Source organism: Homo sapiens, chromosome 10 (genome assembly GCF_000001405.40).
Source record: "Homo sapiens chromosome 10, GRCh38.p14 Primary Assembly".
Taxonomy (NCBI): domain Eukaryota; kingdom Metazoa; phylum Chordata; class Mammalia; order Primates; family Hominidae; genus Homo; species Homo sapiens.
Window position 1 is genome coordinate 50,064,761 of NC_000010.11, and position 24,650 is coordinate 50,089,410.

At 43.2% G+C, this 24,650-nt stretch overlaps 1 protein-coding gene and 1 pseudogene across 30 annotated transcripts in view, besides 1 other annotated feature; one reads left to right on the forward strand and one right to left on the reverse strand.

The window, feature by feature from the left end:
* FAM21EP (family with sequence similarity 21 member E, pseudogene) overlaps positions 1-3,043 on the reverse strand; it is a 46,622-nt pseudogene extending 43,579 nt beyond the window's left edge. The window contains exon 1 of the transcript NR_038275.2: positions 1,766-3,043. The product of NR_038275.2 is annotated as a family with sequence similarity 21 member E, pseudogene (transcript). The remainder of the gene's footprint in view (positions 1-1,765) is intronic.
* Positions 2,868-3,017: a silencer, noted in NCBI's record as "silent region_2365". NCBI's record gives its function as "represses an Ori minimal core promoter by ATAC-STARR-seq in GM12878 lymphoblastoid cells {active_cell/tissue: GM12878}" and the evidence as "EXISTENCE:reporter gene assay evidence [ECO:0000049][PMID:35858748]".
* WASHC2A (WASH complex subunit 2A) overlaps positions 3,194-24,650 on the forward strand; it is a 65,556-nt gene continuing 44,099 nt past the window's right edge. For 27 of the 29 annotated variants that reach the window (NM_001005751.3, NM_001291398.2, XM_017016227.2 and 24 more), the window contains exons 1-8: positions 3,194-3,248; positions 3,345-3,467; positions 4,787-4,951; positions 13,915-13,977; positions 15,998-16,171; positions 19,312-19,405; positions 20,737-20,798; positions 22,515-22,562. In NM_001005751.3, the coding sequence (NP_001005751.1) occupies positions 3,246-3,248; positions 3,345-3,467; positions 4,787-4,951; positions 13,915-13,977; positions 15,998-16,171; positions 19,312-19,405; positions 20,737-20,798; positions 22,515-22,562 (732 nt within the window). In that variant the 5' untranslated portion in view covers positions 3,194-3,245. Of the gene's footprint in view, positions 3,249-3,344; positions 3,468-4,786; positions 4,952-13,914; positions 13,978-15,997; positions 16,172-17,965; positions 17,998-19,311; positions 19,406-20,736; positions 20,799-22,514; positions 22,563-24,650 lie in introns of those variants that run through there. The other 2 variants (XM_047425218.1, XM_017016233.2) reach the window with 2 other exon arrangements.

The window sequence follows — 24,650 nt, forward strand, 5'->3', positions numbered from 1 at the left end:
AAGCAAAAAAGTTCCAATAACAAATCCAGCACGATACCGTGCCCCCTCTACATACAAGCATTTCTATGGAAACAGATATATTTATAAAAGCAAAGAAAAAGACGTGGAAAGACATGCTCCCAGAGCATGATCCTAGTTTCCTCTGAAGAGTATGCAGAGAAGGAAAGTACTGGAAGGCTCAAACTTAGCCTCATCTGTTAAGTTCTAATTTTTCCAAAGGTACACAGTAGTATGTATAACTAAAAAAAAATTTTGTTCAATGTTTGAATCAATGAACTGTGCCAGGCATGTTACTAAAAGCACTTTATTATCTAATTTAATCCTTACAACTTTGGGGTTAGCTGCAGCACACAAAACCAACCTGTTGCATAAGCTAGTGCTTTTACTCACTATACTGTACTGTTTTGAAAAACAGTTTGTGGCCAGGCATTGTGGCTCACGCCTGTAATTGGAGAACTTTGGGAGGGCGAGGCAGGTGGATCACCTGAAGTCTGGAGTTTAAGACCAGCCTGGCCAATATGGCAAAACCCTGTCTCCACTAAAAATACAAAAATTAGCTGGGCATGGTGGCACACGCCTGTAATCCTAGCTACTTGGGAAGCTGAGGCACGAGAGTCACTTGAACCCAGGAGGTGGAGGTTGCAGTGAGCCAAGATCATGCCACTGCACTCTAGCCTGGGTGTCAGAGTAAGACTCTGTCTCCAAACAAACAAATAAATAAATAAATGGGCTACTCTATTCAGGAGAAGTTCAGATTTTGGAGTCACAATGTTTCAGTGATAAATTCCAGGGTGTGGGACGTAGATTAAGGGTGTTAAGTACGTGGCCACTGAAGTTACCCATGATGGTGTTACATAAAATCCAAGTTTGGTAATTGGCTCGCCTCAATTTTACCAACCAAGTTCCAAGTTCTAAAGTGTGTATGTGTGTGTGTGCGTGCGCGCACGCACGTGTGTGTGTTTTAATCAATGTGGGGGAAATGGAAGAGGTTGGTAGATGGTGACTTAAAAATGAAGTCCCCTTAAGACTCTAAGACTGTTTTTGCAGACAGCAGTCTTAGTCTTCTTCCAGGCTGGAGTGGAGTGGTGCAATCTCGGCTGACTGCAACCTTGGTCTCAGGGGCTCAAGCAATCATTCCACCTCATTCTCCTGAGTAGCTCAAACTACAGATCTATGCCGCCATGTCCAGTTAATTTTTTTTTTTGTAGATATGGGGTTTCACCATGTTTCCCAGGCTGGTCTCGAACCGCCTTGGCCTCCCACAGTGCTGGGATTACAGGTGTGAGCCACCATGCCAGCCCAGCCTTAGTGTTAACACTGTTATAGGTTACTGTAACATATTGGCTCACAGTGTGTGTTCTCGGGTCTGCCTCTTTCCTGGTTACCTAATCATAAGTAAGTTACTTCTCCTTTCTGTACCTCAGTTTCCTCAACTATAATTTGGAAATAATATTCCCTCCCTCATAGTCATTGTGTGAATTAAATGAACAATGTATAAAATGGTAAATACTGAACACTTGATAAATGTTAGCTATTATTAAAGGAGAGACTGATATTTAAATGATTACAATACAATGTAATACCTTAGGATAAATACATAAAAAACAACTTTTTTCCTTCCTTATTTTACAGCTTTATTACTGATTTCCCTCTAAAAAGAGATCCAAATAAATGTGGAGCGACTCATTCTCATTATAGAGTAAGGAATCACAAAGTACCATAGTCACGTAACAAAAGCAAAAAAAAAAAAAAGCAATTGTTTTACCTTTCAACTGCTGATGTTATGTACAATCTATCACAAGAAGCATAGCTGTGCATTCATGAGCTGATTGTATTAACCTCTAGAATTTTAGAAACGAGCACATAGGAGGGCGTTTCAAGTATTCCTGATACTCCTTGTCATCTTCTGCGAATCTACTAGCAAACATCTCTTCAAAATTTGGAACAGCTTTGGCAGTGTCAGTCATTCCGAAATTCCCAAAGATTTGAGGCAGCTGTATTGTTTAATGTTTAGGTTGTTTAAATCCGCCAAGGGCTGTGTCTATCTAGCTCGGGCCGAACCCCGCCAGCGAGACACTAAGAGACCGCAGGAGAGGTGGCCTCTGGCCCACCACACCGTGGAACTCCAGACCACCCCAGCTCTCCAATGTAGTGGAGACCCTTCCGCTAGCCATCGAAAATAACTTAAGTCACTTAAGCTGTACTTGGGATAATCAGGTTATTTAATGAGGTGATAACTGAGGTGACTACAAAAGAAAAGTCTGGGATTGGGTGTGTGAGCAAGGTGCATGGGGACAGTGGTATGTTCTAGGTTGAAGGCTCACCCTAGGCCAAGCACCGTGGCACCTGTTTTACAATATCATAACTTTAATATCACATCCTTGCAAGATATGTAGCTTCGTTTTACTGAGGAAAGCTCAGAAAAGTTAAATAACTCGCCCTTGGGCACACATGACTGGAAAGAAATTGGGATTTTTATTTTAGTAAGTAAGTTGGTCAGGCACAAGGGCGACTCAGCAGAGGGAACTTCAAGGAAGTGTGAGACAACAGCTGGAGCCCTGAGCTGGGAGAGTGGAGGACGAATTATAAAGAGTTTTATGCCTGCCATAATGAGAAGCTTGTCCTTGAACTTGAGGGCAATGCTGAGAGTGCAAAGGACTTTAAGCAGGCCCTACACAGTGGCAGCCAAGCAGGTCATAAAGAGCAAGATGATGCCCAGGCAGATCAGGGATTCTCTATCTACAGAGCGTCCGCCTACCAGCTCCTTCACAGCAGCGGATTTTGCTGCAAGAGAAGAGGCAGCAGGCCAGGCCTTTTCCTTCGCCCACAGCGCCTACGTCGAAGGCTCCCAGGCTGGTTGCTCCACTGGCTGCTTGAGGTCCCCTCTTTCCAGACCCGCCGAACTGGCGGCCGGTGCTGTGGCCGATCCCGCGCCGCTGCCTCGGGCCTTGGGGGGCAGCGCCACCCGGCCAACCCGCCTCTGCAGCGTTCCTGGCGTCAGCCCCTATCCTCCAGCTTCCTCCGCCCCAACCTAGGGTAGAACCCCAAACTCCAGTCCCAGTCCACTTCCGCAGCTTCCTCCCCTCAGCATGGCAGGTCGGATCACGTGCGGGTTCTGTCACGTGACATCAGGTCACGTGAGGCCGGTCACGCCCCGGGCAGCTTGGCTGGGGCTAGGCTTCCGGGGCTCTGCAGTCCTCGGCGTGTGCTGGCAGCTTCGGAGCCCACCGAGCCGGGCGGCTAGGATGGTGAGGGCGCCGGGCAGGAGAGAGGCCGGCCTGGGCTGGGGCCGCCGTCCCTGCCGCCCTCAGGCTCAGCTTCTCTTCTCGTTTTTTTCGCTGCAGATGAACCGGACGACCCCCGACCAGGAGCTGGCGCCAGCGTCGGAGCCCGTGTGGGAGCGGCCGTGGTCGGTGGAGGAGATCCGCAGGAGCAGCCAGAGCTGGTCGCTGGCGGCCGACGCGGGCGTGAGAGGCGGGCCCCGGGGACGCGAGAGCGGCAGGGGTGACGCTTGGCTTGCGCGCAGGAGGGCCGGACCGCGACTGCCCCTGCACCTGGCCCGTCCCGTTGCCTGCCCTCTTAGGAACACACGCCCCGTTTAGCCCCCGAGAATGCCACCCTGGCAGTCCCCGGCCACCAGGGAGAGGGGCAGACACTGACCGTGGCCCAGACGCGACGTTCCCTTCATGGGGTTTCTGGCTCAGCTCCATCCGGAGGGGAGATCCGTTTCCGCCACACTGAGGGATTGCTCGGGCACTAGGGAGGCGATTCCTGTTGGGACCTGGACTAAATGGGGTGGGAAACAAGCCAGTATGTGGATATCCTTTAATGGGATTTTTCAAATCGGGGGCCCAAAAAGCTCAGAACTGTTGGAGTCCCAAATGAATAGGATTTTTGAATAAGAGTGGTGGTTGATTAGCTAACCCTTGGTCTGTGATCTCTGTAGATTGACAACCAAAGAGGACTTTTAAAAGGAGACAGGGTTTTGCCCTGTCGCCCAGGCTGGAGTGCAAGTGGCTTGATCTTGGCTCACTGAATCCTCTGGGGTTCAGGTGATCCTCTCACCTCAGCGTCCTGAGAAGCTGGGACTATAGGCGTCCACCACACCTGTCTGATTTGTTTATTTATTTAATTTTAGTAGAGATGGGGGTCTTGCTATGTTGCCCAGACTGGTCTGCAACTCCTGGACTCTAGCGATAACCCTGCCTCAGCCTCCCAAAGTATTGGATTACAAGCGTGAGCCACCATACCCAGTGCCAAAAAGGGATTTTAAATTTTTCCAGAAACGAGATAGGTGTCCATTAGCTCACTGCCACTCTTTTGATGAGCTTTCTTAGTGTTTTCCAATGTCACTTGGTTTTAGTACTTGTCAAACCAGCATTCCAGCCGGGCACAGTGGCTCACACCTGTAATCCTAGCACTTTGGGAGGCCGAGGTGGGCGAATCACGAGGTCAGGAGTTCGAGACCAGCCTGGCCAACATGGTGAAACCCCGTCTCTACTAAAAATACACAAAATTAGTTGGGCGTTGTGGCGGGCACCTGTAATTCCAGCTACTCGGGAGGCTGAGGCAGGAGAATCGCTTGAACGCGGGAGGTGCAGTGAGCCGAGATGGCGCCATTGTACTCCAGCCCAGGCAACAGAGTGAAACTCTCTCAAAAAAAAAAAAAGCATTTCTTTCACATTCTAACACTCAAAGGTGAAAGGAAATGGGTTCTTTTTTGATGTGACATGCAGAATAGTTACATGTAACATTGATACTACTGTATGTTTATTTTTTAAAATAGCTACTACAGTTTCTACAGGAATTCTCACAGCAAACTATCTCTAGGACCCATGAAATCAAGAAACAAGTGGACGGACTAATTCGGGAAACCAAAGCCACAGATTGTCGCCTGCATAATGTCTTCAATGACTTCCTTATGCTCTCTAATACCCAGTTCATTGAGAATGTGAGTTATTTAGTTATATTATCATTCCTTTTTTGGGAGTAGGAGATATTGTAATTTTAAATAACTTACTGTTAGGTTCCCTCCTAAATTTTGGTGGAAGTGTGGTTCTTGGTAATTGTAGCTTTTTTCTCTGGGATTAATACCTCTTTTTTATTTGTAAAGTTTTAAGTCCTTTTTTCCAAGCCTCTAAAAAAGTCTAATGATAACATTTTCTTATACTTCGGTGCTTCCATCTTTTGTCGTTTTGAGAGTAGTCAGCAATTGTGCTGAATTTTGTGGCACTCACACTGCCTTTGTTGTGGCGTGATCTGTAAGGACAGCTGTTTACCTGGTTAGACCCTCTGGACACCAGCATATGGTTTCACTTGTTGATTGGGGTCATTCTGTTCTGATAAATTATATTCAGGGGATATATATGTCTGCTTGCAATACTCTCAACTAAAGTTTATGATGGCTGAACTTACAATATGGAATCAACTGTAAACAGATTACTGAGCTTAAATCTATGTGTGATTTTTGTCTATTTACTGTTTCTTCTAGGTGGTAGGAATACATAGGTAAATTAGATAGAGCCTCTCCCTTGGCAAATAGTATAATTCCAGCATACAAAGGAAGTAAGTATGGCTGGAGCAGAGTGGAGACTTAAGAGATGAGGATGGAGAGGAAGCTTAGGTAACAGACCTGTGTTTCTCATAGGGTGTCCCAACTTTCTGAATATCAGCATTCATTTGTGGAAAAAGGATTATTAAAGTAAGCGATCTCCTGAGATTGTTAGATATAAAGTAATAAAATTTTCAGAATCACAAAATTATTTAAAAAGCCCAAGATTTAGAATAGTTAAGAGAATGCCATGTAGTCAACTTGTGCAGCATGTTTGTGCATTTTTTAATAGCTGGAGTTAAATGCCACTTCCTGTCTTTTTTTGGAGAGCTATATATAAAATAAAGACATTAATAAAGGTGTTAGAGATCTCTTTGCCAGTTATTTCCTTTAACAGCAAAGGAGTACTTATGAGTTTGAAAAATAACAAGTATTCGGCCAGGCGTGGTGGCTCATGCCTGTAATCCCAGCACTTTGGGAGGCCAAGACGGGTGGATCACCTGAGGTTGGGAGTTCGAGACCAGCCTGACCAACATGGAGAAACCCCGTCTCTACTAAAAAAATACAAAATTAGCCGGGCATGGTGGCGCATGCCTGTAATCCCAGCTACTTGGGAAGGCTGAGGCAGGAGAATCGCTTGAACCTGGGAGGCGGAGGTTGCGGTGAGCCGAGATCCTGCCATTGTACTCCAGCCTGGGCAATAAGAGCGAAACTCCGTCTCAAAAAAAAAAAAAAAGTATTCAAGTAAAATCAGTAGTTTTCTGATTGTTTACACAGAATGTCCATGCTTGGTCCTGACTATCTCACTGGAAAAGTCAGGGACTCTAGACTCAACTTCTCTGGTGTGCACAGCCCCATAATGTTTTCATCAAGATTAATTTGGTGTCCTTTTAAGCACTCCTGTTCTTTTCATTCTGTACTTTTCTTGCTGGATCAGGTAGTCAGCACTTCTCTGCAGTCAGTGCTGCAGCACCAGAGTCCCAAAGGATTTGGGAAGTTTCTTTTTTTTTTTGAGATGGAGTCTCACTCTGTCACCCAGGCTGGAGTGCAGTGGTGCGATCTCCGCTCACTGCAAGCTCCGCCTCCCGGGTTCACGCCATTCTCCTGCCTCAGCCTTCCAAGTAGCTGGGACTACAGGCGCGTGCCACCACGCCTGGCTAATTTTTTGTATTTTTAGAAGAGACGGGGTTTCACCGAGTTAGCCAGGATGATCTCGATCTCCTGACCTCGTGATCCGCCCACCTCGGCCTCCCAAAGTGCTGGGATTACAGGCCTGAGCCACGGCGCCCGGCAAGGGAAGTTTACTTTGTACCCAGTGTGCTTGTACCAGATTGGTACTAGATTGGTACCAGATCAATACTTCAGTGGGAAGAAATGGGGAACATCATACAATTTTTCTCAATCACAGTCTTAGGTCTTATCTTTTCTCCAGCTCTTTTCTAGCCAAGTTTTCGTAGATTCTGAGTTTTCCATGTTGTAGTTTTTGTGGAGTTTTTTTGGTTTTGTTTTATTGTGTTTTGGTAATTGTTCTTTATTTCTGTCCAATACTGGGGATTTCCTGTTTTCCATCCATCTCTCCATCCCTTTAGCCTTAGCTTTTTTTTTTTTTTCTTCCGAGACAGAGTCTTGCTCTGTCATCCAGGCTGGAGTGCAGTGACACCATCTCGGCTCACTGCAACATCCGCCTCCCGTGTTCAAGCAATTCTCCTGCCCACACCTCCCATGTAGTTGGGATTACAGGCTCCCGCCACCAGGCCTGGCTAATTTTTTTTCTATTTTTAGTAGAGATGGGGTTTCACCATGTTGGTGAGTCTGCTTTTGAACTTCTGACCTCAAGCGATCTGCCCATTGCAACCTCCGCCTCCCGGGTTCAAGCAGTTATCCTACTTCAGCCTCCCAAAGTGCTAGGATTACAGGCGCGAGCCACTGCGCTCGGCCCTTAGTGTTAAGTCTTGATGCCCCTTCGCCTTCCAGTCTGCAGCCAGAACTCTTCTCCGGATGTGCTGGTTGCCGCTGCCAAATCTTAATTACTTCCCAGACCTTCTATAAGGCCACATGCTATAGGTTTTTTTAATTTGTGGCAAAGCATGATAATACTGAGAAAACAGCTAATGCTTAATAAAACTCTGAAAAAATATAGTTGCTGATATATATTTGTAAGTGATCTGGCTTTTTTTTTTTTTTTTTTTTTTTGAGACGGAGTCTCACTCTGTCGCCCAGACTGGAGTGCAGTGGTGCAATCTCAGCCCACTGCAAGCTCTACCTCCCGGGTTCACGCCATTCTCCTGACTCAGCCTCCTGAGTAGCTGGGATGACAGGCACCCGCCACCACACCTGGCTAATTTTTTTTGCATTTTTAGTAGAGATGGGGTTTCACCGTGTTAGCCAGGATGGTCTCGATCTCCTGACCTCATGATCCACCCGCCTTGGCCTCCCAAGTGCTGGGATTACAGGTGTGAGCCACCATACCCGGCAATCTGGCTTTTTAATGTTTTATTTTCAATCCCTGACATCAGTACTTAGGTGTTACAATTCCAGCTTGAATTATGGTGCCATTTGGTTTCATGGTAATTTATCAGAAACATTCAAAGTCAGATAGGTTTCTGGGTCTTATTAATTAGCCTCAGGGGCAGCCACAAAGTTGCAAACTATATTATAAAGTTAGTGAAACAATCCAGACTTTCTAGGGCGAGAACAGTCAGGACTTTTTAGGGCAAGAGAAATTAATACCATTAGTAAAGGCTCAAGAGGGGACTTGGAGGGAGAAGAAATACTAATTAACATTGGCCAGTGTTCTAGTGTCTAATTAGAAGGCAACACAATTCTAAAGCCTTAATTATCTGTTAATTTAGGAATTGGATCCTGAAATAGCAAGTGCCATAGTTAATGACTTTAGTTTGTTAAATGAACTGGTGAGGGAGGATTTTTTCTTTTTAAAGTCAATTGTTTCCAAATCTTAGCTTTGTAAAATTAAAAAAAAAATTCCAGAATGAAACAAATTAACCTGTTTATGCCCAAGGTTAGAATTTTTTTTGTGAAAAGCCAGATCTTGGCAATGACCTTGAGCAGTAGGATATACATAACTCTGACAAGCTTAGTGTTCCAATAATGGGACACTAGGCATAAATTGGTTAATTTTCCAGATCATCTTCCTGTTGATTTATAAAAGCTGAATTTTGGTCATTTTTCCCTCCTTTTCTACTTTTCTATTGAAGAAACAGATGGAGTTGCTGAAACTGTCAAGTACTCAGCAATTAGAGAGAAGGAGGTAAAGCCCAAAAGCGTTATTAACATATAATTTCCTGCACAGGTTTTTCCCTCTCCCCCTAGACCTGCTTTATTTTACATAATGCCCCTTGCTTTTGACACTCCAGCCTTCTCATTCCTTGGAGATGCCATATGCCCTGCTGCTACGGGGCCTTTGCTTACATTGCTTCCTATGCCTCTACCCTTTGATTGACATCTGTCTGTCTTCTAGGTCTCTGCTCAATTATATTACTTCCTCCTGGACCCTCTGCACTAGGCACACCCCCTGGATAAAAGCAGCTGAAGCATCACATTCTTTAGTAGACTTCTTACAATTGTAATTTTACAATTATTGATGGGATTTGATGAGTTGGACCCTCCCGCTAAATCAAGCCCCATATTTTTAACAACAACTATATTTGAGGGGTCCAGCACAAGCCTGATATTTAGGGATCCAGTGAATATTTGAATGAATGAGAGTACGCATAAATGAAAGGGGACCAGGGCTGTGTATAGTCTGTTACTCTCCAGCCCTGGTCCCTTTTTCCCCAGTTCCCCTCTTTCCCCTTTTACCCTGTCTCCCCAGATGAGGAGCAATACCAAAGATATTTAACAGTCCTGGGTATAGCTATCTGACTGTAAATTGATCACAAAACACATGAAGCTGTGAGTTTAGCAGGTGAGGATGAAAGAAGTTAGCATTGGTTATCTGCTGGATATGAAGTAGTTGAGGATGCATAGTCCTGCTCACCCTGAAAAGATCCCATGGGCTTTAGGTCCCATGGGTTTAGGTTTCTTAGATGTCATGTTTGGCTTTCCAGCTGCAGGCTGCTGATAGGTAACCATGGTAGCTGCCAGGTCTTAAAGTCTCACTTTTGAGATTTACTTAACTTTTTGGAGTCCTGACTTTGAAAATTACCAAAGTAATCCCTGATCTTTATAGAGCAATTAGGAAAAGTAAGAAAAAGAAAAATCATGTGAAATTTCCTCAGCTTGAGGGGAGCCTCTCAAGGTTTAGCACATATATTCTAAGTCCATTTCCCATGCAGACATCAGGCTTAAAAGAATTGAACCTACAGTAGGCCGGGTGCGGTGGCTCACGCCTGTAGCACTTTGGGAGGCCGAGGTGGGCGGATCACGAGGTCAGGAGATTGAGACCATCCTGACTAACACGGTGAAGCTCCGTCTTTACTAAAAAATACAAAAAAATTAGCCAGGCGTGGTGGCAGGCGCCTGTAGTCCCAGCTACTCGGGAGCTTGAGGCAGGAGAAGGGCGTGAACCCGGGAGGCAGAGCTTGCAGTGAGCCGAGATCCTGCCACTGCACTTCAGCCAGGGTGACAGAGCAAGACTCCGTCTCAAAAAAATAATAATAAATAAATAAATAAATAATTGAACCTACAAAAAATCAGCTACCCCAAATTAACCAACCATTGAACTTTTCAGTGTATTTTTTTCTGTTCTTGTTTTTTAACTTTAACCTTTTCTAGATGACGGTATGTGTGTGTGTGTGTGTATTTACATTTGCAGCCTACTTTTTTTCTTAATGTGAACTTATTTAACCCATCTTTGAGACTTTTGTGAATATAATTTTTTTGTTCTTAAACCGTATCATAATTTATTTAATAATCTTCTAATATTAAATGTTATTTATGAAATGTTTCATAAATTTCATAAATGTTTCATAAATAAATAGAAAAGTTCAGAGAGAAACCACAAGTGCTAAGAAAATGTAGCACCTAGCATCAGTGGTTTTGTATCTTGCCACATTTGCTTCAAAGGTGCCTACCCACCATATTCGTCCTTAACTCTAATCATTTTGGGTGGGGATTCCTTGGTATCTCTGCCTTTTTATTCTTTTTTTGTTTTTGAGACAGGATCTCCCTCTGTTGCCCAGGCTGGAGTTCAGTGGTGGAGACAGCTCACTGCAGCCTCAAACTCCTGGGCTCAAGCCATCCTCCCATCTCAGCCTCCTGAATAGCTGGCTAGGACCACAGGTGTTCGCCACCATGCCTGGCCAACTTTTTATTCTTTTTACCTAGAGAGGGATTTCATTTTTATCCCTTATAGATAACCTTTATTGTGTAGTTGTTCTTTTCTTCATTGACTATTATGTATGAACGTTTGTGTGTGTTTATGTGAAAATAAAATCAGGCCTCCATGGAATTGTGGGTCTGTTTCTGCCCTCTGCTGTTTGTTTTGTTTCTCTGCTGTTTGCCAGTATCATAATCTTAAATACTGCAGATTTCTAATGTCTTATTAGGGCAAGTCCCCATAATCTCTTTTTATTCAGAATTGTCATGGTTATCAATCTTTGGCTTTTTACTTTTCTGTGTGAATTTGAGGATTATCTTTTACTTATTTATTTATTTTTTTGAAATAGAGTTTCAGTCTTGTTGCTCAGACTGGAGTGCAATTGTGCAATCTCGGCTCACTGCAACCTCTGCCTCCCAAGTTTAAGCGATTCTCCTGCCTCAGCCTCCTGAGTAGCTGGGATTACAGGCACCGGCCACCACATCAAGCTAATTTTTATATTTTTAGTAAAGATGGGGTTTTGCCATGGTTTCACCATGTTGGCCAGGCTGGTCTCAAACTCCTGACCGCAGGTGATCCCAAAGTGCTGGGATTACAGGCATGAGCCTCCCAAAGTGCTGGGATTACAGGCGTGAGCCTCCTAAAGTGCTGGGATTACAGTCGTGAGCCACTGCCCCCAGCACGATTATCTTACTATATTGTGCCACAGAATATTTTATTAGCGTTTGATTGGAATTGCATAGAATTATAAATTTGGTATTTGTGACTTTCTGCTGGAAATCATGATACCATGAACATTCTGATGTTTGCATTTATGATAATTTTCATGGGAGCTAAATTTCAAGAAGTAGAATTTTGGGTCAGAGGATATGATCGTTTAAAAACAACATTGTTTGATCAGATTGGCAGATACTTAAAGATGGGTGGACAGGAGCCATTGCTGGCAAAGGTTTGGGTAAGGGGCACTTGAGTATGCTGCTAGTGACAGGGAATTCTACACATTTGTGCATAGAATCTGGGAATGACTATTAAGATTTATTTATTCCCTCTCTAGGTAAAATCCCTCTCTAGGTATATAAATAAATAATAAATAAATAATCAGTTTCAGCCGGGCACAATGGCTCACACCTGTAATCCCAGCACTTTGGGAGGCCAAGGCCGATGGATCACTTGAGGTCAAGGAGTTTGAGACCAGCCTGGCCAACATGGTGAAACCCCATCTCTACTAAAAAAAAAAAAAAATGCAGGCCGGGCATGGTGGCTCACACCTGTAATCCCAGCACTTTGGGAGGCTGAGGTGGGCGAATCACGAGGTCAGATTGAGACCATCCTGGTTAACATGGTGAAACCCCATCTCTACTAAAAATACAAAAAAAATTAGCTGGGCATGGGTGGCAGGCACCTGTAGTCCCAGCTACTCGGGAGGCTGAGGCAGGAGAATGGCGTGAACCCAGGAGGCAGAGCTTGCAGTGAGCCGAGATCGCACCACTGCACTCCAGCCTTGGCAACAGAGTGAGACTCCATCTCAAAAAAAAAAAAAAAGGGCAAAAACAAATTAGCCGGGTGTGGTGGTGCCCGCCTGTAATCCCAACTACTCGGGAGGCTGAGACAAGAGAATCATTTGAGCCTGGGAGGTGGAGGTTGCAGTGAGCCAAGATCCTGCCACTGCACTCCAGCCTGGGTGACAGAGCTAGACTCTGTCTCTAAATAAATAAATAAATAAGCAGGAAGGGTAGGAGAGCTCTAAATATATGCACTTGTTAGCTTATATTTATGTTCAGAGCCTCAGGAAATGAGCATACACACCAGGCTTAAATTGGGTATTCCAAGGATCAGGTTGGGGATAGGGAGGGAACTATTTTAAAATACATCTCTTTTACATGTGCCTTTATATTGACTTAAAATTTTAAAAATTGAGATAGAATTCACATACCATAAAATTCAGTCCTTTAAAAAGTATACAATTTGGTGGTTTTTACTGTACTCAAAGTTTTATAATCACGGCCACTGTCTAATGCCAGAAGATTTTCATCAGTTCATTTATATTGACTTCTTATTTCTTTCTTTTTAAAAAATTTTAATTTCATTTCATTTTATTTTTGAGATAGGGTCTCACTTTTTCACCCAAGCTGCAGTGCAGTGGTGCAATCAGGGCTCACTGCAGCCTTTACCTCCCAAGCTCAAGAGTTCCTCCTGACTAAGCCCCACAAGTAGCTGGAATTACAGGTGCACACCACCATACCTGGCTAATTTTTGTATTTTTTGTAGAGATGAGGTCTCACTATGTTGCCCAGGCTGATCTTGAACTCCTGAGCTCAAGTGATCCCCTTGCCTCGGTCTCAGAGAGTGCTGGCCTTACAGGCGTGAGCCACCGCACCTGGCCTATATTGACTTTTTATAACAAGCATGTTGTACTTCGGTAGTTTTTAAAACATAAAAATGATTTTAAAAACCAAGAATCACAGTGATTTGGCAGAGCAGTGGGTCTTTTCTGGAAAAGAGAGTCTTGCCTACCCATGCTGTCAGGGTTAGTCAAATGCCCAGGCTTTCTGGCAAGTCAGTGGTAGATTTTTCTCTCTGCTTTCATACAAATGGGATAATAAAAATTTATCAGCCATTTTAAGCAACTGAATGAAAATAAGTTTTGCCTTTACCATTTTCCTTGTTCAAAATCCTGAAGTTCTAGTTTCCTAGTTGATAAATTACATCAGTTGACATTCTCCATAACCTGGGGTCAGAATACTGTATCATTGCCCATCAACATTATTAGGTTAAATGAAAAGGTGTGAAAACTGATATCTTACTGTTTTTGCAACTCTTGGTTTACAACGAGGTTAAAGTTTCATCATGTTTCCTAGTCATTTGTATTTAAAAATTTTCTTTTTTTTTTTGGTGAATGGACTATTCTTTGCTGTTTGTCCATGACCCACTGTTACGGACACCCACCTGGTAGTGGTCTCAGCCCTTTGCTGAATAACCATTTCCTTCCCCATCTTTGTCCTTAGTTACTGTGTGAATTCTTATATTGTGATTTATTTCCAATGACGTGTTGACCTTTTAACATTGAGTTTGCTTCCATATTTAGCGTGTATATGATGAAGAAGTGGAGGAGCCAGTACTCAAGGCTGAGGCAGAAAAAACAGAGCAGGTACTTGTATAAAATCACTCTTAGCTGAGTTTCTGACTTTGAAAAATGTGGTGGAGATCGATGTGTTATGTGGGAACTGGGGGATGGTGGGCGGGGTTGGGAAAGGGAGGGACTGCTCCTGACAGCAGCCCAAGAGGGGATTCTTTCCTTTGTTTCTGAAATGTAGTGTATTAACTAATACAGAGATCAAATCCTTGAATTCTGATATAAGAATAGAGTAGAAGTCAGCAAACTTCTTTTGTAAAGGGCCAGATAGTACATATTACAGATTTGGAGGGTCACAGAGGTCATTTTTTTCCTGTGGCTTCCTGAGTTACAGATGGACCAGCCTTCTTCCTGAGATCTTCTCACACCAGAGCCCAAAACATAGCTAAGAGGTTCTGGGTCACACTGACTTCTTAGCACTCCAGCAGAGATTTCTTTTTCTTCCACTCAGGAAGGCACATGGACTGTGAATAAGTTTATTATTGGAGTAGCTTTGATTTTGTTCTCATTTATTCAGAAAATATGGATCACCTGTAAAGGTTGGCCCTTTGTCAGCAATTATTACTTGTAACAGATGAAGCTGTTAGACTAGGAAAAGGGTATTCGAAACCAGCTATAGTTCTGCCTGTTGCCAGCATTTTTTAAAAAAAGTTATTTTATTTTATTTTTTATTTAAAAAAATTTTTTATTTTGAGATGGAGTCTCACTCTGTTGCCCAGGCTGGAGTGCAGTGGCACGATATCAGCTCACTGCAACCTCTGCTTCCTGGGTGCAAGTGATTCTCCTGGCTCAGCTTCCCGAGTAGCTGGGACTACAGGCGTGTGCCACCACGCCTGGCTAATTTTTTTGTATTTATTGTAGAGACGGGGTTTTGCCATGTTGGCCAGGCTCGTCTCAAACTCCTGACCTCAAATGATCCGCCAGCCTTGGCCTACCAAAGTGCTAGGATTACAGGCGTGAGCTACTGTGCCCAGCAGGTTATTTTATTTTTAATAGAACTCAAGGATTTGCTAGCCATTTAAGTGCAGTAGTATCTGGTTATACCAATTCAGGGTTTAATTTGAAGGTGATAGGTATTTAGTGTACTATTTTTAAAAACTGCTATATATTTCATACACATTTTCACAAACTCAGTACAATATTAGCTATTTAACTCAGAATCAAGCATATCCAAATAGAAAAATACACAACCAAGACAAAAAAGTTCAGTTAGAAAGACTTCAGTACTTGAGATAAAAGACTAAAATGCTCGTAGGGTTTTTTTTTTGCCTTTGGCCCTCAGAACAACACTGTGTGGTTTGGTTCCTTCTAGAATATTTGTAGAGGGGGAAATGACACTAAATATTTTTCGGTATTTCTCACAATGGCACACTTGTGTCTGCGGGGACTGCCATTGAGAACTGCTGTTGCAGGAAGAAGACACCTGAGGGAGATTCTCAGCCTGTTGGTGATATGAACAAACCTTTTTTCTTGAGTGGGGCATTGTTGTAGGGTATACACAGAATAGACCGGAGATGAAAATGACCCCCTTTTGATGTAGAACAGATTTATAAAATAATTGTAATTGTCCAGTATTTTTTTTTTGTCTCTTTAAACTGTAATTGAAAAATGAGACCTCTGTGACCTTCCTTCTAAGTCTTAACACCTAAAATTACCCAAGGGATAACCAGGGCTCGTGGGATAGTCATGGTGAGTCTGAGAGTCTAGGCCCTCCAGCAGTGGGGAAACAGCATGTATTCATTGTTGGGATACTTCTCCACACACTAGTTGTACCTCTGCTTTTGTAGACGATGACCCTTGAGCTCTGGAACCTTAGGTAGTTTGATGCATGTCCAGAAAGGGGCAAACTTGGGATTTAAAACTTGCAGTCTTACTCCAAAGTCTGTGTCAAGGCATTCAGCAGAATTTGACTTTTTTAACATTTTTAATAAGTTTTTTTGGAGCTTGAGGCTAGGCTTTAGAGAACATTCACAGTATTCTTTTGGGGCAGTATCAGTATATTGGAGACCCATACTGCATGGTATTTATTTTGTAGGAGAAGACACGAGAGCAGAAAGAAGTAGATCTCATTCCTAAAGTCCAGGAGGCTGTGAACTATGGCTTACAAGTATTGGACAGTGCCTTTGAGCAACTTGATATCAAAGCAGGAAACTCAGACTCCGAGGAAGATGATGCTAATGGGCGGGTGGAACTGATCCTTGAACCAAAGGTGAAGACATTCAACTTAAATATTTATTGCACAACTATTATGTTTGGGCTACTTTAATTGGGCACACGATTAGTAAGTCATGGACTTAACCTCTGGGAAGTGAGTATGTCACTTAGTAGTCTCACATTGACTCCACCAGAAAGACTCGCTTTACCTGAGCACTGATGGAGTACTTGTGAGGCGCAAGGCAACATGTCAAGTTGGGGTGCAAAGATGCAGAGCATGGCCTCTACTCTCGAGGTGTGTGTTGCAGTCTGGTGGGAGAGAGGAGACATACATACGAATAACCGTTGTAAATGCCCTGAGAGAGAATTGACTTCCAGCTGGAATTTTGGGGCAAAGATGATATTTGAATTGGGGTTTGAAGGGTGGGGAGGCTCAAAAGAGACAGAGAGTGTTGGGAACCTGAAATTATGTAGCTTGGGCTAAGGAAGACTGCAGAAGAACTGAAAGGCATTTGGGTTGTTTCCGGTTTGGGCAATTATTAAATACAAATGAAGCTGCTGTGAGCATTCACGTCCAGGCTCCCTCATAGCCTAGTGAGTGTTGGTTGCTTGACACACTTTCTCCCACATTGTTCAAAGAGACAATTGGGGTGACACAGAGTCTCTCGGTAGTGAACACAGAAAGTTACCACAGTGATTTATAGAAAGAGGCCTTGTGACACACAAGGCCTTCCGAATTAAAACATGCCACAGAACCAAACCCTTTTTTTTTTTTGAGACGGAGTTTCACTCTGTCCTCCAGGCTGGAGTGCATGGCACGATGTTGGCTCACTGCAACCTCTGCCTCCTGGGTTCAAGCGATTCTCCTGCCCCAGCCTCCCGAGTAGCTGGGATTACAGGCGCCCACCACCACACCCAGCTAATTTTTGTATTTTTAGTATAGACAGGGTTTCACCATGTTGGCCAGGCTGGTCTCGAACTCCCGACCTCAGGTGATCCGCCTGCCTTGGCCTCCCAAAGTGCTGGGATTACAGACATGAGCCACCGCACCCAGCCTGAACCACTCTTCTAGTCATTCTGTAGCTGCACATTTCTCTTCCAGTTTGAGCTTTGCTGAGTCACACCAAATTGAGGCAGATCATTTGGCACTGACCGGTACACTTGCTGCTTGGATTTTCACTGTATGCCTTTAAAAGTCAGCAGTGGACTCTGGGAAATGGATTGCCTGGACCACACTTGATACTTCCAAGACACACAGCACTTTCTCTCTTTTTTTTTTCCCCTTGCAGAGAAAGTTGTGGAGGTACACTTTTCTTTTGTAGGAGGATTTGGGGTTGTCTTCTGAGTCAGTGAGAATTAGTCCAAATTAACGCTGTCTTTGCCTTATGCTCCATTGGTTGCTGTGACGTCGTTGAACCTTTACTTTAACCTTCCCAATCTTTCTGTTGTTGTGTGAAATGTCAGAATTATTCTCCCCTGCCCCAGAGTCCTTTGACAAGGAAGAGATATCATTGCCAAAGGGCAATGCCTCACAGGGGACAGGGCAGCATTTCCTTCAGCAGTGGAGGTAGGAGGCTGTGCAAGGGTGGAGCACTTTCTTGACCCTATTTTTTTTTTTTTTTTGAGACAGAGTTTCACTCTTGTTGCCCAAGCTGGAGTGGCGCAATCTCGGCTCACTGCAGCTTCTGTCTCCTGGGTTCAAGTGATTCTCCTGCCTCAGCCTTCCAAGTAGCTGGGATTACAGGCATGTAACATGACACCTGGCTAATTTTTGTATTTTTTAGTAGAGACGGGGTTTCACCATGGTGACCAGGCTGGTCTTGAACTCCTGACCTCAAGTGATCCGCCCGCCTCGGCCTCCCAAAAGTGCTGGGATTACAGGTGGGAGCTACTGCAACCGACCAACCCTAAATTTTTAATGTGTGTGTGGTGTGGGACTGACAGGAGTAGACGGCTGACATGGGCAGATCTCCAGCATGTGCTGTTGGGGCCACAGTCTCCTGCCCTCACTCTGTTTTCTCATCTGGTCTTATTTTACCAACTTCAATTTTCTAAATTCAACAGTGTGGAACCACTAGGGGGTATTGTTCTTCTGTTTATTGAGTTATAATCTTTTTTATTTATTTATTTATTTATTTTGAGTCAGAGTTTCGCTCTTGTTGCCCAGGCTGGAGTGGAGTGATGTGATGTTGGCTCACTGCAACCTCCACCTCCTGGGTTCAAGAGATTCTCCTGTCTTAGTCTCCTGAGTAAATGGGATTATAGGTGTGCGCCACCACACCCAGCTAATTTTTAGTATTTTCGGTAGATATTGGGTTTCACCACGTTGGCCAGGCTGGTCTCAAACTCCTGACCTCAAGTGATCCATCTGCCTCAGCCTCCGAAAGTGCTGGGATTACAGGCATGAGCCACTGTGCCCGGCCTAATCTATTTTTATATTAAAATATATAGTTACATTATGTCTCATTAGTACTGCTTTTTAGGGGACAGCTCACCAGAATGTTCAGTTTCTTTCCTTGGTCCTCCTCTTCTTGGACCTTATACTAGGAGGTTGTACCCTTTTCCCTGTTTGCTTGCTGCTGATAGACTTTTGGTAGGCTTTTGCCATTTTTGTTAAATTTTGTTAATTAGGCCCTTGGGGAGGGAGATTCTGTGTGATACAGCTTTACTTTGGTATCTTTTTTTTTTTTTTTTTTTTGAGATGGAGTTTTGCTCTTATTGCCCAGGCTGGAGTGCAGTAGTGCAATCTCAGCTCACTGCAACACTGTTTCCTGGGTTCAAGTGATTCTCCTGCCTCAGCCGCCCGAGTAGCTAGGATGACAGTTACCCGCCACCATGTCCCGCTAATTTTTTTGGATTTTTAGTAGAGACGGGGTTTCACCACGTTGGTCAGGCTGGTCTCAAACTCCTGACCTCAAGTGATCCACCCGCCTTGGCTTCCCAAAGTGCTAGGATTACAGGCGTGAGCCATGGTGCCCGGCCTTACCTTGACATCTTTACCTAGGATTTGACTTTTAAAAAAATCAGTGAAAAAAAGAATTTTTTTTTTAACTTTTAGTCCTGCTGTGTTTCTTATTCTCCACTTTCGTTATGTAGCTTGTTTGGGATAGTCAGATGGAACAGGGTATCAGGTGGCACATGTAAGTTTGTTTTCAACTGAAATGTTTGACAGCCTATTCCTTTCATGATGTACAGGATCTATACATTGATCGTCCTTTACCATATCTCATTGGGTCAAAGCTGTTCATGGAACAAGAAGATGTAGGTCTTGGAGAGCTGTCCAGTGAAGGTACTTTTCTTCACCAAATAATTTTGTTCCTTAACATTTCTTTTTTATTTTAAAATAATTTCAAATTTTACATTAAAGTTTCAAGAATAGTTCAAAGAACTCTCATATACCCTTCACCTGGGTTTACCAGTTAACATTTCACCACATTTGTTAGATTGTTCTCTACATATACGTAATATTTTGTCTTGAGCCTATTTGGGAGACATCATGCTCATGCCCTGTTACTTCTAAATGTTTCTCTGTGTGTTTTCTTTTTTTCTTTTCTTTGTCTTTTTCTTTTTTTGAGACAGAGTCTCGCTCTGTGGCCCAGGCTGGAGTGCAGTGGTGCGATCTCAGCTCACTGCAACCTCCGCCTCCCGGATTTAAGCGATTTTTCTGCCTCAGCCTCCTGAGTAGCTGGGACCACAGGCGTGCACCACCACACCTGGCCAATTTTTGTATTTTTAGTAGAGACGGGGTTTCACCATATTGTCCAGGCTGGTCTCGAATTCCTGACCTCATGATCTGCCCGCCTCGGCCTCCCAAAGTGCTGGGATTACAAGCATGAGCCACCGTGCCCGGCTGTTTTTCTTTCTTTCTTTCTTTTTGAGCCGGAGTTTCTCTCTGGTCACCCAGGCTGGAATGCAATGGCGCGATCTTGGCTCACTGCAACCTCCACCTCCTGGGTTCAAGCAATTCTCCTACCTCAGCCTCCTGAGTAGCTGGGATTACAGGTGCCCACCACCACACCTGGCTAATTTTTGTATTTTTAGTAGAGATGGGGTTTTACCATGTTGGGCAGGTTGGTCTCGAACGCCTGACCTCAGGTGATCCTCTGTGTGTGTTTTCTAAGAACAAGGACATCTCTTGTATAATCACAGTAGAATTACAAAGCCAGGATATTTTCCTGGACATAAGGGTATTATCCAATCTGCTGCTATGTTCACATTTTGCCGTTTGTCCCAGTGACACCCTTTACAGTCTCTCTCTTTTGTTCTGTGGTCCGGGACTCAATCCAGGACCAGCCACCACATTTGGTTGTCAAATCTTCAGTTATCTTTTAATCTGATGCCATTTCTCAGCCTTTCTTTGCTTTTTATGACCCTGACATCTTTAAAGAGTACAAGCAATTTTTTTTTTATTTGTAATGAATAATTTTTGGGGGGAGAGATACTTCAAGACTACATAAATATGTAATTCCTCACCATAATGACACTTTCAATTCCAGTAAGTGGGTATAGATGGTTTTATCAAGATCTCTGTGATGCTGTTGTATGGTGGTTTGTGATTTTGAGCTAAGGACATTTTCTTGTGAATATTGGTGTGGTGACCCTTATCTCTCTTCTCAACAGAAGGCTCTGTAGGCAGTGATCGTGGCAGTATTGTGGACACTGAGGAAGAGAAAGAAGAGGAGGTAAGGGCTGTTTGGTATGACCAGGTCACGGTGGGCAGCAAGCTTAATTTAAGATGGGCCTAGCAGGCTAAGTAAATAGCATAACTGTGAATTCGTAATCTGCTTCCATAAAGCTTTTAACAGTGATAGAAGCCACATTCTGAGTTTTTTTTCCCAAGGGTTAGATTTCCTTTTTGCCTTATGTACAATAATAGGGAAAGCTGCTTTCATCTCTTCCACTATTATCCTCTCTCCCACCTTGCCACCAAATATCTCTTTCACCCAATATATTTTTGAGAAGGGCAGCTTAGATGTTTTGGTGGAATCTCTGCCTGGGATATAGTCTTTGAGTATATTCTGTCTTTGAATAATTCTAAGGGAAAAAATCTACATTTAGAACTTTTGTAAACTATAAAACCTAGAGCAGGATATACCGAAAGCCACCACTTACATTCTATTTTGCTGCTGCCGCTAGCGCTTTCATATCCACAGAGCATAATTTCATTTCCTTGTCTAGAGTTTGAGTTTGTGGGCCTTGACTACAGTTGAATCTGTAGTTGTTCTTTAGATGGGATATTCGTTATTGCAAAGGACACAGCCATGTTGCAGGAGAGTCCTCGAGTATGGGATTTCCGAAAGGAGACAGTGTTGTGTATGTGCTTTTCTCTTCTGGTTGGTCCCCCTTTCTGCACTCTCCCTGCCCGCCTTTCTTCCAGTCCTCCAAAGAAAAACCTGACAGCAGGAAATGAGCTTTTCTTAAGTAACTTTCGTATAACAAAAGCAGTGCTCATTAGGGGAATCCCTTGCTTTTAGCCACCGATGTGGCACTTCTATGTGGCACTTCATCAATAGTTGCTCGTAGCAACTATTGATGTCCCCTTCTTGGGCCTAATGAAGTAGTTATTTTTATTATTTTTTTTATTATACTTTAAGTTTTAGGGTACATGTGCACATTGTGCAGGTTAGTTACATATGTATACATGTGCCATGCTGGTGCGCTGCACCCATTAGCTCGTCATCTAGCATTAGGTATATCTCCCAATGCTATCCCTCCCCCCTCCCCCCACCCCACCACAGTCCCCAGAGCGTGATATTCCCCTTCCTGTGTCCATGTGATCTCATTGTTCAATTCCCACCTATGAGTGAGAATATGCGGTGTTTGGTTTTTTGTTCTTGCGATAGTTTACTGAGAATGATGGTTTCCAGTTTCATCCATGTCCCTACAAAGGACATGAACTCATCATTTTTTATGGCTGCATAGTATTCCATGGTGTATATGTGCCACATTTTCTTAATCCAGTCTATTATTGTTGGACATTTGGGTTGGTTCCAAGTCTTTGCTATTGTGAATAATGCAAGGAAATAGAGACAGTATAGTCCAAAATGTAAAATAACACAAACTGACTTTCAGTAATTTAGTTAGTTAAATGTGCAACTCTTTAAATCCAAAGGCAAGAGTTGAAAGTGCAGGTGATGTGAACAAATTGTTAGAGGCATTTAAGTGAACCACAAAAATTACATGTTAACTGGAACAACCCTTCACAATATTGCCAGCTATCCAGCTTATCTGCACCTTGATACTTAAGGTGACCAGTAGTCAGTACAAAGAGACTGAGTGTCAGAGCTTTTTCTCCACTTGACATAGAATCAGCCTGCCCCAGAGACTTAGACCTGCAATCATTTCTGTGCTTCTAAGTAAAGCCCATTTAACAACAAAGCCTTTTCTTCCCCACAAAGGAGTCAGATGAAGATTTTGCCCATCATAGTGACAATGAACAAAACCGGGTAAGGCTCATATATTGAAATGACTTTGTTTTTACATTTTAATTGAAGCATAGTATATATACTAATATTACTTTGGAATGATTTATGACCAAGTGAGGATTTTTTCTTGTATACAATTTATTTTCCTTTAAGCATTTCATGTATTTAGGCTAACTACCTCCTTTGTATATATTTTTTCCAATTTTGCTTTATAGTTTATTTTTCTTAGAAAAGAAGTTTCAAAGAAGTGAAAAACACAATTGGAAAACAGAGCCTCTAAAAGAAGACTCAGTTACCCAAACTGAACTACTTTGCATGAGTCCCTCTTCTGTTTTAAAATTGGAGACAATCTAGCAGTAACATTATTGAGTATTCACAAGATGAAAACTTCTTACCCTACTGTCTTAGCACGGTTATCTTAATTTTTGAATAGCTAAAGGCGTATTCTTTTCATAGTGTGCATCTTTCATTTTCTGCCATTTTATGTTAACATTTTATAAATGTATCCTTATTTATTATTATTATTTTTTTGAGATGGAGTTTTGCTCTTGTTGTCCAGGCTGGAGTGCCGTGGCATGATCTCAGCTCACTGCAACCTCCGCCTCCTGGGTTCAAATAATTCTTCTGCCTCAGCCTCCCGAGTAGCTGGCATTACAGGTGCCCACCACCATGCTCAGCCAACTTTTTTTGTATTTTTAGTAGAGATGGGGTTTCACCATGTTGGCCAGGCTGGTCTCGAGCTCCTGACCTCAGGTAATCCACCCACCTTGGCCTCCCAAAATGCTGGGATTACAGGCGTGAGCCACCATGCCTGGCCTCCTTATTTTGAATAGCCTTTGCAGTTTGCGTTGTAAACTTCTATACTTTTAAACATACTGAGTATGATACTGTCATAGTCTCTAAATGTATAAGGGAAAGGGTTTATTTCTAGAGTTGTATTTTTGATGTAATAATGTATTCAATATTTTCTTTTCTTTTTTTTGAGACAGAGTCTCGCTCTGTTGCCTAGGCTGGAGTGCAGTGGTGTGATCTCAGCTCAATGTAATCTCCGCCTACAGGGTTCAAGCGATTCTCATGCCTCAGCCTCCCTGAGTAGCTGGGACTATGGGTGTGTGGCACCATGCCCGGCTAATTTTTTGTATTTTTAGTGGAGTCAGGGTCTTCCCATGTTTCCCAGGCTGGTCTTGAGCTCAGGCAAACCGCCCACTTCGCCCTCCCAGAGTACTGGGATTACAGGTATGAGCCACCACGCCCAGCCAATATTTTCATATATAGAAATCCTTTGCTTCGGTGAACTGTTTCTTCAGAATGAGGTGGTATAGAGTTATGTTAATAACTCTTAATGTCTGGTGGACATTCTAAATTAAGTATTATGCATGTAGATTTTCCTACAATCTCATCACTGGGGTGATTATTTTAAATTTCTTTTAGTTAAAAATTTGCATTTAAATTTCTTAACTGGGAAATATTTTTTTCACAAAAATGTTTAACTATCAAATGAAGGATTTTATACTTTCTGGTTGTTACTGTATTTTCCTGGTTGTATTCATAAATGTGGTTGATCTCTATAATTTTAACGATCAGTCTTTCTTCATAGGATATTTGTTTCTATGGAATTTCCTATTAAGATCTGTAAATGCAAACAGTTTTTCTTTCCTTTTTTTTTTTTTTTTTTTTTTTTGAGACAGAGTCTCTCTCTGTTACCCAGGCTGGAGTGCAGTGGCACGATATTGGTTCACTACAACCTCCACCTCTTCGGTTCAAGTGATTCTCATGCCTCAGCCTCCCAAGTAGCTGGGATTATAGGCATGTGCCACCATGCCCAGCTAGTTTTTGTATTTTTAGTGGAGATGGGGTATCGCCATGTTGGCGCGGCTGGTCTTGAACTCCTGACCTCAGGTGATCTGCCTGCCTCAGCTTCCCAAAGTGTTGGGATTACAGGCGTGAGCCACCACGCCCGGCCACAAACAGTTTTTCAAAAACAGTACAGTATAGTGAGTAAAAGCACTAGCTTATGCAACAGGTTGGTTTTGTGTGCTGCAGCTAACCTCAAAGTTGTAAGGATTAAATTAGATAATAAAGTGCTTTTAGTAACATGCCTGGCACAGT